Here is a 10,170-nt window from a genome sequence, read left to right as displayed (position 1 = left end):
CCATCATGCCCAGCTAATTTTTGTATTTTTGTATTTTTGTAGAGACAGGGTTTCACCTTTTTGACCTGGCTCGTCTTGAACCCCTGACATCAGGTGATCTACTCACCTTGTCCTTCCAAAGTGCTGGAATTACAGCTATGAACCACCTCACCCACCCTTGAATGAATGTATTCTTGACTTCTACCCTATCCCTAACACTGTCGATTTCTTGCTTCATGAAGTGAATATAGATATGTGATATGAATGGACATCTGATTCAATCCGGTAATCTGGGGAGAGCCAAAAACCCAATCAGGATTAACTGGGTGGAGCTTCACAAATGCAATCAGATATCATTTTTTGATTGGAAGGTAGCAGCGGATATGTGCAGGGGCGTGGGTGGGAGTTGTGATTAGAAAGGTCAATAAAAGCTTCTAAAGACCCACAGGAGAGACCCAAAGTCTTCAAGCCTGGAGTTCCTGCTTGGTTCTTCCTGAGGACTGAGCACCTTCTAGACTACATCCAGATCTGGTAAGCCACTAATTTCTGTAAGGACACTCCCATCTGACCTACAGTCAGTCGGTCTGGGATGGTGACAGTGCAGCCTACGATGGCACAGAGCTATATCCTGTCCTTTTTTTTTTCATATGAACAATTTGAAGCTTGAATGTTTTCCTCTAAATGCAGTTCTGTCTTTATTTCAAAAAAGTTGATTGTGCTTTGGTTGATGCCATTTTAAAATTCGTGAAGGGAGCAATGACTCATGTCTTTAACCCCAACACTTTGGGAGGCCAAAGTGGGAGGATCATTTCAGCCCAGGGGTTTGAGACCAACCTGGGCAACATGACAAAAGCCCTCCTCTACACAACGTTTTTTTTTTTTTGAGGGTGGGGATGGAGTCTCACTGTGTTGCCCAGACTGGAGTGCAGTGGCACGATCTCAAATCACTGCAACCTTTACCTCCCGGGTTCAAGCAATTCTCATGCCTCAGTCTCCATCCTCAGAAGCTGGTGTCACAGACATCTGAAACCATGCCTGGCTAATTTTTGTATTTTTAGTAGAGGTGGGGTTTCACCATGCTGGCCAGGTTGGTCTCGAACACCTGACCTCAAGTGATCCACCTGCCTTGGCCTCCCAAAGTGCTGGGATTACAGCTGTGAGTCACTGGTGCTTGGCCTCTACTTTTTTTTATTTTAATTAGCCGAGCATGGTGACATGCATCTGTAGTCCCAGCTATTTGGGTGGCTGGTGTGGGAGAATCACTTGAGCCCAGAAGATTGAGGCTGCAGTGAGCCATGCTCACACCACTGCTGTACTCCAGCCTGGGCAAAAGAGAGAGACCCTGTCCAAAAAACAAAAACAATATCTTAACCAAAAAGGATCTATGACCTTAATTTTAAACCAATCACGTCCTCACTGTAATTCTTCCACTCGAATGGAGACATGGGTGTGGGGGTGCATGCCTGTAATCCCAGCTACGTGGAAGGCTGAAGCATGAGAATTGCTTGAATCTCAGAGGTGGAGGTTACAGTGAGCTGAGATGGCGCCGCTGCACTCCAGCCTGGGCGACAAAGTGAGACTCAGCTTCCCCCACACCAAAAAAAATTAGATTATACCACCCAGGTGATCATTGGATACATGAAGATTTCTATTGTGTGTTCTTGGGGACTGTCAACTCTGTCTTTGAAAACTGTTTTAACTCTGAAATATTTTGATAAATTTGATGTGGCCGAGGATCCCTCAACAAAGATACTTTCAAGTTTTTTCTTTCTGTCTAATATCAGGAAGAGATTCAACCCTTCCCTATCTCACACTCAGGACTGTGAAGGACACATATTAATAAAACCCCATTTTGTTTGTGAAGGGAATCAGTGAATGAGTCCTGGGCTTCCACCCCATCCCTAAATCTTTCACTTTGATGGGTGAATATCTAATTCCATCAGTAAATCTGGAAGAAAGCCAAAAATCCAATCAGGATTAACTGGGTAAATTCGAATCAAATCTAGCTCTCTCTCTCTCCTTTTTCTTTTTCTTTTTTTTTTTTTTTTTTTTTTTTTTTTTTTTTTTGAATCTAGCCTATTTCCCAGGCTGGAGTTCAGTGGTGTATTGTCAGCTCACTGCAACCTCTGCCTCCTGGGTTCAAGCGATCTTCCTGTCTCAGCCTCCCTAGTAGCTTGGACTATAGGCACAGACCACCGCAACTGGCTAATTTTTGTAATTTTAGTAGAGGTAGGGTTTTACCATGTTGGCCAGGCTTGTCTCAAACTCCTGACCTCAGATAATCCACCTACCTCTGCGTCCCAGAGTGCTGGGATTACAGGTGTGAGCCACTTCGTCTGGCCTTGAATGAATGTATTCTTGACTTCTACCCTATCCCTAACACTGTCGATTTCTTGCTTCATGAAGTGAATATAGATATGTGATATGAATGGACATCTGATTCAATCCGGTAATCTGGGGAGAGCCAAAAACCCAATCAGGATTAACTGGGTGGAGCTTCACAAATGCAATCAGATATCATTTTTTGATTGGAAGGTCGCAGCGGATATGTGCAGGGGCGTGGGTGGGAGTTGTGATTAGAAAGGTCAATAAAAGCTTCTAAAGACCCACAGGAGAGACCCAAAGTCTTCAAGCCTAGAGTTCCTGCTTGGTTCTTCCTGAGGACTGAGCACCTTCTAGACTACATCCAGATCTGGTAAGTCACTAATTTCTGTAAGGACACTCCCATCTGACCTACAGTCAGTCGGTCTGGGGTGGTGACAGTACAGCCTACGATGGCACAGAGCTATATCCTGTCCTTTTTTTTTTTCATATGAACAATTTGAAGCTTTGAATGTTTTCCTCTAAATGCAGTTCTGTCTTTATTTCAAAAAAGTTGATTGTGCTTTGGTTGATGCCATTTTAAAATTCTTGAAGGGAGCAATAACTCATGCCTTTAACCCCAACACTTTGGGAGGCCAAAGTGGGAGGATCATTTCAGCCCAGGGGTTTGAGACCAACCTGGGCAACATGACAAAAGCCCTCCTCTACACAACGTTTTTTTTTTTTGAGGGTGGGGATGGAGTCTCACTGTGTTGCCCAGACTGGAGTGCAGTGGCACGATCTCAAATCACTGCAACCTTTACCTCCCGGGTTCAAGCAATTCTCATGCCTCAGTCTCCATCCTCAGAAGCTGGTGTCACAGACATCTGAAACCATGCCTGGCTAATTTTTGTATTTTTAGTAGAGGTGGGGTTTCACCATGCTGGCCAGGTTGGTCTCGAACACCTGACCTCAAGTGATCCACCTGCCTTGGCCTTCCAAAGTGCTGGGATTACAGCTGTGAGTCACTGGTGCTTGGCCTCTACTTTTTTTTTTTTAAATTAGCCGAGCATGGTGACATGCATCTGTAGTCCCAGCTATTTGGGTGTCTGGTGTGGGAGAATCACTTGAGACCAGAAGATTGAGGCTGCAGTGAGCCATGCTCATACCACTCCTGTACTCCAGCCTGGGCAAAAGAGAGACACCCTGTCCAAAAAACAAAAACAAAATCAATCAAAAAGGATCTTTGACCTTAATTTTAAACCAATCACATCCTCTTCCACCCAAATGGAGACATGGCTGCAGGGGGTGCATGCCTGTAGTCCCAGCTATGTGGAAGGCTGAAGCATGAGAATTGCTTGAATCTTGGAGGCCGAGGCAACAGTGAGCCGAAATGACACCACTGCACTCTAGCCTGGCCGATGAAGTGAGATTCAGCTCCCTCAACACCAAAAAGACTTATGCCACCTAGGTGATCATTGGATATATGAAGATTTCTATTGTGTTTTCTTAGGGACTGTCATCTCTGTCTCTGAAAACTGTTTTAACCCTGAAATATTTTGATAAACTTGGCATGGCCAAGGATCCCTCAACAAAGATACTTTCAAGTTTTCTTTCTTTCTGTCTAATATCAGGAAGAGGTTCAACCCTTCCCTGTCTCACACTCAGGACTTTGAAGGACACATATTAGTAAAACCCCATGTTTGTGAAGGGAATCAGTGAATGAGTCCTGGACTTTCACCCTATCCCTAAATCTTTCATTTTGATGAATGAATATCTAATTTGATCAGTTAATATTTAAGAAAGGCAAAAATCCAATCAGGATTAACTGGGTAGAGATTAAGAATTCTAATCAAATGTAGCTCTCTCTGTCTCTCTGTTCAATCTAGCCTATTTCCCAGGCTGGAGTGGAGTGGTATAATGTCAGCTCACTGCAACTTCTGCCTCCTGGATTCAAGCGATCCTCCTACCTCAGCCTCCCTAGTAGCTTGGACTACAGGCGCAGACCACTGCACCTGGCTAATTTTTGCTGTCTTAGTAGAGGCAGGGTTTTACCATGTTGGCCAGGCTCGTCTTGAACTCCTGATCTCAGATGATCCACCTGCCTCGGCCTCACAAAATGCTCAGATTACAGGTGTGAGTCACTGCACCCAGCCAAAGTGGTTCACTTTGAATATGTGTAAGAGGTGTGCATTGGAAACATCTATCTTGTGAGTAATGCATAACAGTGTCACATAGCTTTCAGAGCTTCTCACTGAAATTTTCAATAATGAGGCAGGGGTGGAGGCTCACACCTATAATCCCAGTATGTTGGGAGGCCAACAGGGGTAGATTGCTTGAGACTAGGAGTTCAAGACCAGCTTGGACAACATAGCGAAATCCACTGTCTTTACAAAAAGTCAAAAAATAAAAGATGAGCTGGGTGTGGTGATGCATAACTGTGGTCCCAGCTACTTGGGAGGCTGAGGAGGAAGAATCCTTTGAGCTGGGAGGTCAAGGCTGCACTGAGCTGAGATCCCACCACTACACTCCAGGCTGAGTGACAGAGCAAGACCCTGTCAGAAAGAGTGAGAGAGGGAGAGAGAGAAAGAGAGAGAGAATGAGAGAAGGGATGCAGGGAAAGAAGACAAGAAAGAAAGAAGGCAGAGAGAGGGGGAAAGAAAGAAAGAGGGAGAGAGAGGAGGAAAGAAAGAAAGAAGGGAGGGAGAGAGGGAAAGAAGGAAAGAAGAAAGAGAGAGAAAGAGAAAGCAAGCTTAAATAATGAAAAGAAAACAAATAGAACCTGTTCTAGGGATGCCCCATGAATGTTCCCAACAAGCTTATTTGTAGGAACTGAAAATGTGGGCATGTAGGCTTGTGACATTCCCATTCCCATTGTTTTAGAACCTTGAGTAATTAGTAATTTCCCCCAATGGTAGGAGGGGTTCACTTTCAGGTTCCTCCACACTCACTAGTCACTGGATGGAGCACTGGATAGAAAGGAAGGGCTCGTGGTGGCCCTGCTTCCTCACTGCTTCGGAGACGCTCATGCTGATGCAGCAGAGGCAGAATGCTGGCTTAATGGCCACTGAGTACAGGGCAGAATTGGAGTAAACTGAGGGCTGTTTCACCATTGCCAGAGCAGTGACTTTGGCCTTGGGAGAAGATAAGATTGCATGGGCTTGGCCTGAGAGTGATGCCTTTTCTCTGGGTTTGTCCTCTGGAAGTTTTCCCTGCAGATTCGTGAAGATGAGCATCCGGACTCCACCCAGACTCCTGGAGCTTGCAGGGCGGAGCCTGCTGAGGGACCAAGCCTTGGCCATGTCCACCCTGGAGGAGCTGCCCACAGAACTTTTCCCCCCACTGTTCATGGAGGCCTTCAGCAGGAGACGCTGTGAGGCCCTGAAGCTGATGGTGCAGGCCTGGCCCTTCCGCCGCCTCCCTCTGAGGCCTCTGATAAAGATGCCTTGTCTGGAGGCCTTCCAAGCTGTGCTCGATGGGCTGGATGCACTGCTTACCCAAGGGGTTCATCCCAGGTGAGGTGGCCCAGGTGGGCTGGTGGGGAGGGCCCAGGTATCCAACCAAAGGAAGAGCTGTGTCATGACAAGTGAGGAGGCCCAAGGGGGATGGTGGTGGTGAGGAAGCCGAGAGGACTTGGCCATTCACCAGCTCCTCAGGGAAAGCACTGCTCACCACGCAAGGTCCATGGAGGTAACAGGAACCTCTCCTCTAATGGCACTGAAAGGCACCATGAAAAGTGAGAACTGGGCCGGGCACGGTGGCTCACAATGTAATCCCAGCACATTGGGAGGCTGAGGCCAAGAGTTGGAGGCCAGCCTGTCCAACATGGTAAACCCCAACTCTACTAAAAATACAAAAATTAGCTGGGCATGGTGGTGGGTTCCTGTAATCCCAGCTACTTGTGAGGTTGAGGCAGGAGAATCATTTGAACCCGGGAAGCAGAGGTTGCAGTGAGGTGACATCACACCACTGCACTCCAGCCTGGGTGACAGAGGGAGACTTGGTCTCAAAAGAAAAACAAAAAAATGTGGAAGTGGGCAGGATCCAAGGGGAAAACAGGGTGAAGAAAAGTCAGAGAGAGGGAGAAGAAGCAGGGAGGGGAGGAGCTGCTATGCAGGATGTGGAGTTTAAGTTCAGAAATGAGTTCTGAAATTCTCATTCTCACCTCTATTTTCCCACAGGAGGTGGAAACTTCAAGTGCTGGATTTACAGGATGTCTGTGAGAACTTCTGGATGGTTTGGTCTGAAGCTATGGCCCGTGGGTGCTTCCTCAATGCCAAGAGGAACAAAACACCAGTGCAGGACTGTCCAAGGATGAGAGGACAGCAGCCCTTGACTGTGTTCGTAGAACTTTGGCTCAAGAACAGGACTCTGGATGAATACCTCACCTGCCTCCTTCTATGGGTCAAGCAGAGGAAAGATTTACTACACCTGTGCTGTAAGAAGCTGAAAATTTTGGGAATGCCCTTCCGCAATATCAGAAGCATCCTGAAAATGGTGAACCTAGACTGTATCCAGGAGGTGGAAGTGAATTGCAAGTGGGTACTGCCCATCCTGACACAGTTTACCCCATACCTGGGCCACATGAGGAATCTTCAGAAGCTCGTTCTCTCCCACATGGATGTCTCTCGCTACGTTTCCCCAGAGCAGAAGAAGGAGATTGTTACCCAGTTCACCACTCAGTTCCTCAAGCTGTGCTGCCTCCAAAAGCTTTCTATGAACTCTGTTTCTTTCCTCGAAGGCCACCTGGACCAGCTGCTCAGGTGAGGGAGGGTGGTGAGCTTTCTCTGCAGACCACAGCAGAGCCTGTTACAGTAAACGCTAGTGGGCATCTACTGTGAGCCAGCCTATGAGGATGAAACAGTGAAGGGGACACTAGAATGTCCATGCATTGTCCTGTTGGCGGCCCTGTCCTGAAATGGGTATCATGCAACCCTCCCAATAGAGGCAGAGGGATCAGCTAGGGGAGATGCTATGGAGAGGCTGCCATGCTAGGAAGCTAGCTCCTGGGGGGTTCAGATCTAGTGAGGGTGCCTTTCTGAATTCTTCCTGAGGATGTGTGTCTAAGTTAAGATGATGAAAAATAGGCCAGGGGCGGTGGCTCATGCCTGTAATCCTAGCAGTTTGGGAGTCTGAGGCAAGAGGATAGCTTGAGCCTAGGAGTTTAAGACCAGTCTGGGTAACATACCAAGACCCCTGTCAGAAATGAATAAATAAAAGTAAAAACAAACAAGATAACTTTCTTTTCTGAGATGGAGTTTCACTTTGATCGTCCAGGCTACAGTGCAGTTGTGACATCTCAGCTCGCAGCAACTTCTGCCTCCCAGGTTCAAGCGATTCTCCTGCCTCAGCCTCCTGAGTGCCTGGGATTACAGGCGTGAGCCACCACACCTGGCTAATTTTTATATTTTAAGTAGAGACAGGGTTTCACCATGTTGGCCAGGCTATTCTCCAACTCCTGACTTCAGGTGATCCACCCACCTTGGACTCCCAAAGTGCTGGGATTATAGGCGAGAGCTACCACGCCCAGCCAACAAGATAATTTTTAAGAAGATGATGTGAAGTAGGGAAGTGAAGTGGGCACTGAAGAGGGGAATGCTCAGCAAACCTGCACATGTCAGAAAATCAGCTTTGTGCCCCACAGTTTCGTGAACATGAATGATCCCATCTCTAATTCCGTGTTGTAAAAGTTTCTTTTGAGCTCCAGGTAAATTAATTACCTAGGAAATGCATGATTCTGAAACAGAGGGTCAGGGAGCAGGCACAAAGAATGGTGAAAGTGATAGATGGTTTGCTGATGATACAGGCTTGTCAGGGACGCCTGCAGCCCGCCCACCGTAGCTGATGTTGCAGGATCCTGTCTGGGTTTGTCCTTTATGCCTGAATCTCCACTGGGCTCCTGTGGCCCAGGGATGTGGTTTTCTGCCTGACAGATGAGGAAAGGGAGCTTTAGGGATTCTGTGAACTTGATCCATTCCTATAAATGATGGTGAAGTGACTCAGCCTCAAATGGAATTATTTTTTTCTCCTTTTTTTTTTTAATGCGGAGTCTCTCTCTGTCACCCAGGCTGGAGTGTAGTGGCATGATCTCTGCTCACTGCAACCTACACCTCCTGGGTTCAAGCGATTCTTCTGCCTCAGCTTCCCAAGTAGCTGGAATTGCAGGCTCCCGCCACCACACCTGGCTAATTTTTGGATTTTTAGTAGAGAGGAGGTTTTGCCATGTTCAGCAGGCTGGTCTCAAACTCCTGATCTCAAGGAATCCACCAGTCTCAGCCTCCCAAAGTGCTGGGATTACAGGTGTGAGTTACTGGGCCGGGCCTAAAGTGGAATTGACCTCGGTGGCAAAACTCTTCATCACACATCATCCTAAGTGTTGACCATCAGGCCATCAGAATGACCCTGGACTTGGGCAAAATGGTCTCCATCCATTACCTTGAAGCCATTCCCCACCACCCTCCACTCACCCCTATGATTCCCCAGAATTAACTTCTTGCTCTCTCTCCCCAGCTGTCTGAAGACCTCGTTAAAGGTCCTCACAATAACTAACTGTGTGCTTTTGGAATCAGACTTGAAGCATCTATCCCAGTGCCCGAGTATCAGTCAACTAAAGACCCTGGACCTGAGTGGCATCAGACTGACCAATTACAGTCTTGTGCCTCTCCAAATTCTCCTAGAAAAAGTTGCAGCCACCCTTGAGTACCTGGATTTAGATGACTGTGGCATCATAGACTCCCAAGTCAACGCCATCCTGCCTGCCCTGAGCCGCTGCTTTGAGCTCAACACCTTCAGCTTCTGTGGAAATCCCATCTCCATGGCCACCCTGGAGAACCTGCTGAGCCACACAATCATACTCAAAAACTTATGCGTGGAGCTGTATCCTGCCCCCCGGGAGAGTTATGATGCTGATGGTACTCTCTGCTGGAGCAGATTTGCTCAAATTAGGGCTGAGCTGATGAAGAGAGTGAGGGACTTAAGGCACCCCAAGAGGATCTTGTTCTGTACTGACTGCTGCCCTGACTGTGGCAACAGGTCATTTTATGACCTGGAGGCAGATCAATGCTGCTGTTGAATGCCTGCCTATTTGGGTGGATATGTCAAACGCTTTCTTCTGGACACTTGGAAACTAAAACCTAGGTCTTAGGTACATCCTATAGGGAGCACAGAACCCATCATTTCACACATGGGCTCTGAAAGTGGGAAAGGGAAGGTGATCAAGCAGGGGCAGGACTTGGGGGAAGTGTTGCCATGGATTCGATGGGACTTTGGGGACCTGTGTCCTGTAGAGTGGAAAATGGGAATTTGAATGTCTAGAGTGGAGGCTTGAGAATACATGAGGGAGTTACTCTTGCATGGATGGTTGTAAAGAAACAATCAGAAATAAAGGAAAACTGAGTGGTAACTGTCTAGTGCCCTCTATTATTAAGTAACCTGTTTTCCAGTTTAAGCCTCAGGAATCTTCAGTTATTGATGGAAAAAACAAAAGGCACTGAGTTGTCCAATCAATAAGATGCTACCCAAGAAAATCAAGGCATTTAAATGAAATTTGGTTATTGTAATCAGTTTCCTCCCATTCTTTTATTTGAGACAGAGTTTCACGCTTGTTGACCAGGTTGGAGTTTAGAGTGCAATGGTGCCATCTCAGCTGACTGCAACCTCCACCTGGGGTTTAAATGATTCTCCTGCCTCAGCCTCCCAAGTAGCTGAGATTACAGGCATGCACCACCATGCCCAGCTAATTTGTGTATGTTTAGTAGCGACAGGGTTTCCTCACTATGTTGGTCAGACTGTTCTCAAACTCCTGACTTTGGGTGATCCACGCAAGTAGGCCTACCAAAGTGCTGGGATTACAGGCGTGAGCCACTGTGTCAGGCTTGTTTTTGTTTTTGT

At 47.0% G+C, this 10,170-nt stretch overlaps 1 protein-coding gene across 1 annotated transcript; it reads left to right on the top strand.

Annotated features, from left to right (window-relative positions):
• The first annotated feature begins 446 nt into the window (after positions 1–446).
• Positions 447–9,555, top strand: PRAMEF6 (PRAME family member 6). The gene is made up of 4 exons (NM_001010889.2): positions 447–510; positions 5,487–5,795; positions 6,462–7,043; positions 8,791–9,555. Exons 2-4 carry the CDS (start codon positions 5,509–5,511, stop codon positions 9,350–9,352), a joined length of 1,431 nt encoding a protein of 476 aa, NP_001010889.1. The 5' UTR covers positions 447–510; positions 5,487–5,508; the 3' UTR covers positions 9,353–9,555.
• Positions 9,556–10,170: the final 615 nt, after the last annotated feature.

The sequence above is a fragment of the Homo sapiens genome, chromosome 1 (genome assembly GCF_000001405.40).
Source record: "Homo sapiens chromosome 1, GRCh38.p14 Primary Assembly".
In the NCBI taxonomy this organism is placed as follows: domain Eukaryota; kingdom Metazoa; phylum Chordata; class Mammalia; order Primates; family Hominidae; genus Homo; species Homo sapiens.
This window is presented reverse-complemented; position numbering and strand designations above follow the sequence as displayed.